Raw genomic sequence first — 5,661 nt, 5'->3', positions numbered from 1 at the left:
ATCGGCTCTCCACCCCCCTGCCCGCCCGGGTTTGGCGCCAGGGCGCCCTCCCGGCAGAGGCCCGAGCGCAGCGTGAACCGCCAGCCCGGCTGGGGCGCCCTACACTCGGCACTGCAGTCCCCGCCTCCCGCCGCAGCCCAAGGGGGCAGGCCTCGGAGCCACCCAGCTGGGCCACCCGGGAACTGGCTGAGTCCGCAGAGCAAAGGGGCGGCGGCGGCGCCGAAAGCTGGAGCGCGCTGCGAGCCAGCGGCCACCGCACCGCCGGGAAGCGACGCCCACCTGTTTGCTCAGATATTGCCATTTCCAGGCCATGACACCTGCACCCTGAATGGTGACTAGCCTTCTCACCCGAGGCAAGGCCGAGCCCCGGGGCACACATCCTCGGGTTGACTACGTGGCCAGAGGGTCAGCGGCCCAGACCTCCAGCTGCGTGCAGAGCAGCGAGCCCAAGGCGCGCTCGCTTGGCTGTGGTGCCTGAGGCTGGGGCTGCTGCAGCTCCCCGAGGCCCGCTCCAGGAAAAGACATCCGAGCCTCTCCACCTAGCCACTCAGGGACCTTTACGTACAAATGTAGGACACTTGCCTCTCTGGTGGGGAAAATGTTGGAGAGGGTGCTGCCATTGGGTGCGCGCCTGGTCAGCGAACTTAATCTAGCGAGTTTGGGATGGGGAAGTAGGATGGAGAGGAGAGCGAAATTTCACTCCCTCTAATTTAGCAGGAGGAAGTCCATGATCGAGGATTCCTGGCTTTTCGGACTTGAGATTCAAAGAACAAGTCCCAGGCGCATGGGCTTAGCGAACGAGACTGAGACGTTAAAGTAGCGCGCTAGGAGTTGGGAAGGGAGGAAAGAAAAGACAGAAGACGGGAAACGAGAAGAAGAATCGCAGAGGTGGAGTGGAGTTATGCCCAGTCCAGAGTAAACTTTATTCTAACCTAGAGGCTGTCTTGATTTCTAAGATGTAGAGACACCCTATGCCGTGCTTCTAAACCAGTGTCCCGGGCAAACGGTCAACGCCGCCAAGAGATGTCGCGAAACGCTGAGTTATTAGGCTCTTGCTTAGCAGTGCTGTTGGACTTGTTCTTAAGTTGGCTAATTCGAATGCAGAGCGGTTTGAGACGTTTAGCTTTGCATACCTAGGGCTGAGACACGCCCTGTTTTTCAAAAGGGGGACTGATAAAGCCGGGGTCTCAAGTTTTTCACAAGGCCAAAGATGAGGAGTGGCTGCAGTTTAGAAAGTCAATCCCAAAACTCTGCTACAGATCGAGGCAGACTTTCCCTAAATGGTTCCCAAATCTGGGTTTTACTCCCAGATATTCTGATTTCTTTGTTGTGTTGAGCCGCTCAGGCATCGCGACTTTACAACCCTCCAGCTGACTCTAATACACAGCAAAGTTTGAAGGTCACTGCCCTAAGTCACCCATTACCCCCAGGAAAGGTTTTTTGGAGAAGGAGCAAGGACCTTCTTCCATTTAGCTCTTGGCGATTGTGCCAGCTTTGGAACTAGCTCCCCAGTCATTGAAAAGTACAATCCCTCACCTTACAGGTTTTTTGTTTGTTTGTTTGTTTTTTGCACAGTGACACAGCAAAACATTGACTCTCCACTGGCATCAGACATACAGGAATTATGAAGGATGAAACCATCTCCCCCAGGCCTTCAATAAGTGCAAGTGGTAAGTTAGCATTGAGAATTCTGCCTGCCATGTACAAGGTAAACTGGTAGCTCTTTCAGCCACCCTGACTCAGGATATCCCATTAGGAACCAAAGTACTCTCTCAGGGCTAGTGATTGCAGACTTTTCAAGCTGGTGTTAAAGAAACTGAGAGTCTCAAATTCAGGCTGGATCACACACACCTGCATCCAGACTCCCCCCAAAATGGATCTGCTACATTAGGAATGGCTGCAGAAGAAGCCTCGCTGGTGTCTAGAATGTCCAGGAGTGGCGCTGGGGAACTGGGGGGATGGTATTGGATGTCCAGGATCGCTCATATACAAACCTAAAACCTGGTTATATTAAGTGGTGAATTACTGATAACAAGACTAGCAAAATAGCCCCTTTTCAGCAGACATGGAGGGGAGGATAGTTCTCTTGACCTTTCCTAAAGGTAACTCCAGAGGCAGAGGCACCACATAGGACCACCCCCACCCCATCCCCGCCAGGCACCCAGCTGTGCTTGGATTTGGCTGCCTAAAGCGTTTATCACCTCACTCTACACAAGGCAGGACCTGGAAAGAGATAACCCCCTGGTGGCTGGGTCGGGTCAGGATCACTTATAACTTCCTAGGCTTTCATCCTCTCTCTCTTATTTCTGCACCATTTATTTGCAGTGAGAACTGCTTGACGCTTCTTTAACGTCCATCTCTCCAAGAACAAGTGCATAACATGGGAGGGGGGAGGCAAGGGATTGGAGGGAGCAAAACCACTGGTCAGGAATTCCCTGCACACTCCAGATGCTGAGATGCGAAAGGGGACCTTACAGTCTTCAAGAACTGGCTTTTTCACTCCCCCCACCCCCAACACTTTTTGCTGATCTATTTTGGGGGCCCTTGGGAGTATCTTCGAAGGCGCTAGGAAAGTAAACATTGGAGCGGGGTCTGCAGATGTGCCTATTCCAAAGATCCAAGAGAGCCATTCTGCACTCTTGCCAGCCCTGGACGGGCATCCCTGTCACACCCCAGCTTCACAGCTCATGGTACTCTCGGTCTTTCCAGGCCGGTTGGGACACCACGCGTTCCAGCGATTTACTCTGCAGAAGAGTTGGGAGAATCCCCCTTTCCTCCATCCCCCCTCCCCCAACACACACACACACACACACACACACACACACACACACACACAGCAGTTCTCCACAAGGGTTTCCCTCCAGGGCAGATTACTTTATGACAGGGTGTGATAAGTGGTGATTTTGTTCCTCTTTTGATGGCAGGATTGCTTTGTAAACAGAAGTGCAAACTCGTTCCGATAGTGGTTCCGCACCAGTGCTCGGCAGCCGCCCTGGCACAGCGGGCAGTAGAGACAGCTGCTGCACCTGTCGCCTAAGGCCGAGAGGGCCGGGAGGCCGCTCCTGGAGGGGGCGCACTGACCGGTGATGCGCTCCTCCAGTCTCCAGGGCATCTTTAGCTTCTCGGCCTCTGGGCTTCCCAGCTTGCTGCACACCTCGGGCCTGTACCCACTGCTGTCAGTTGAAAGCGTGCATTCTGGAAAGCCACAGTGGGACATCCCTAATGCACACCCTTCCTTCTTCACCTTCTCCCTGGACACCTTTGCTAAGAGATTTGGCTAATTTCTTCTCCTGTGGTTGCTGGTAATTCTCCTGGTAATTCCTTTGCCCTAATCCAATTGGAGAGTCATGCCACTCAGTTTCCCTCACCTTTTCCTTTGAGTAGCCCAATTCTCCTTCTTCCTGGCCCTGACCCTGAGGGCAAGTTTACCACGCCAAGGGGGACCAAGAAGGAAACAAAGTTTAAATTAGGTTTGCTCTGCCAAGGGCAGGGAATAGCAGCCACTGTGGGAGACAGGGGAAGAGGAAAGACGTGAAGCCAGAGGTCACTCCACCTGCCCAGGGATCTTCAACTCCCCAGCGGAAAAGCAAAGCCGAGGTCATCACCCGAATGAACCCATTGCTCAGACTTGGGTCCAGATATCCAAGTTCATTTAGAGAACGTTGGGTGAAATCGCTAGGGGTATGGTGCCTGATGGTAAGTGAAGGAGTGGAGTGAAAATGAGGCTCAAGCAGGGCTTAACCCTAACTCAGAGATTACTCCCTCAGAAACTTTGGGGCTGATGGCGCTGGGAGGAGGGTTGTTGGCGGAGAATGGGTTCCACCGCAGTTTCTGACACCACAGGCCTCAGAGAGCCTGAGCTCAGCATTACCTGAAGCTGGGAGCTCCGCTCAACCCAACACCAGGTCATCCCGCCCCTCACCGCAGCTCAGGCTTCCCTCATTGAGTGGGGCACAGAAAAGTTTGCGACACGGCTCAGTGTCCCAGGCCCTGTTAGCTAGTGAACCTGCTTCGTGGTGGCAGCGCCAGGAGTGGCTGCGGAACTCCCGCGGCTCTCCCTCTCCTATCCCAGGGGGAGAAGCGGGGTGCCGCGGGTCTCTGTTTCAAAAGAGACCCGAGGCCGCACTTTCCGAGGCCTCTTGGGAACGGAGGTGGGTCGCCAAGTGCAGTTAGTGGCCTTGGGCCTGCCCGCACTGAGAGCAGCTGGCTCTCCGGAATGGTTGTCTGGAACCCGGAGAGCGGATGAAGCTGGGAGGCATCCCCCATCCCCCGCCAATCGTGGCACCCCCGAGGTGCCACGGGGCGCAGTCTCGCTGGTGCGGAGCTGCGGAGGAGGTCGGGGTGGGGAAAGGCTCTGAGCGGTGCAGCAGGTGTTTGAGGAGCCAGGGAAGGACGCAAATCTGGCAGGACTGGGGTTCTGAGGAGGAAATCGCGGGAGGTGCAGATGACCAGCTCCTGGCTGCTGCGTGTCTAAGAAGGGCAATGCAGTTTACATCATCTTAAATTGAACAGGTCTTGGGCGCTGTGAACTCATCTTGGACGTGGGGCGGTGTAGACCGTCCTGGACAAGGCTCAGCAGCCTTTCTTGAGAGCGCATTGTTGGCCAGGCGCTGTGCTAAGCGTTTTGCGCACATTCTCCTATTGAATTCCCACCAATTAGCCACTTTACAAACCAGGAAACAGGAGTTCAGACAAGGTCGGTAACTTCCCCAGGATCACACAGCCCCTACATGTATATATCGGAGCTGAATGCAGACCCCAAGTGACCTCACTGCAAAGCTAAATTCTAGCTCCCGCATTTCACCTCCCTCCGCCTCTCTCCCACATCATCCGCCCGCTAGGATGTGCACAGATGCCGACGGTCCTCTCTCCTAAGGCCTGGCTGGGGTGCTTCGCTTCCAGCTCACCCTGTCCATTCCCACCCAACCCTATGCGGCGCCTTAGCTTCGCGCTTAACCCCGCTCTCAGCTCTGCCTCCCGCTCTCCGCACGCTCAGGTCCCCCACCCCAAAAGTACTGAGGGTGGAGACGGCGCTCCCTACGCCCCACCCTGGCCCTGGGACACGTCTGCCAGCCCCTCCTAGGCTCGGCCCGGCCCGTCCGGCTGGGCCCGAGGTCGCCTCCAGCCAGAGTTTCCTCCGAGCTGGCGAGGCGAAGCGGTGGCAGGCTGAAACCGCCGCTCACTTTTAAGAGAGCACAGCGACCCCCGCCTGAATCCCGGAGAGCTGCAGGTGCGCCCTTCGTGCGTGTCTTCCACTCTGAAAAGTTAGTCACCGCCCTATTTCCACCGTCTGGAAAAAGCCAGGGAAGATGCACTTAGGAGTTAAAAACTTCATCTAATTTATTTAAATTCTCAGCAAAACAAAACAAACCAAAAAAACTACCCACAGAAACCCCCAGCCTTGACCAAGATTCTAAGGCAGGTCCCAGAAAGTTTTAAATCAACTAAAGGATGGGCATTGGGATGAAAGTCCTGTAGCCCAGGGATGAATAAAATGCGGAACCGATAAGGGGACTCCAGGGAGAGGCACCTCCACCCCACCCCTGGGAAGGCCGAGAGGTGCAAAGCCGCCTGGACAGGGCCCAGGGGTCGGAGGCTCTCGGGCACGGTTAGAAAGGGGAGGTTTTGGTGCCTGGGGGACAGGTCTCTGCTCCACAGCGT

At 55.4% G+C, this 5,661-nt stretch overlaps 1 annotated feature.

The window, feature by feature from the left end:
• Positions 15–284: a silencer, noted in NCBI's record as "silent region_16901". NCBI's record gives its function as "represses an Ori minimal core promoter by ATAC-STARR-seq in GM12878 lymphoblastoid cells {active_cell/tissue: GM12878}" and the evidence as "EXISTENCE:reporter gene assay evidence [ECO:0000049][PMID:35858748]".

Source organism: Homo sapiens, chromosome 6, assembly GCF_000001405.40.
Source record: "Homo sapiens chromosome 6, GRCh38.p14 Primary Assembly".
NCBI classification, from domain to species: Eukaryota; Metazoa; Chordata; class Mammalia; order Primates; family Hominidae; genus Homo; species Homo sapiens.
Note: the sequence above shows the minus strand (reverse complement) of the source record. Positions and strands in the feature narration are given on the sequence as shown.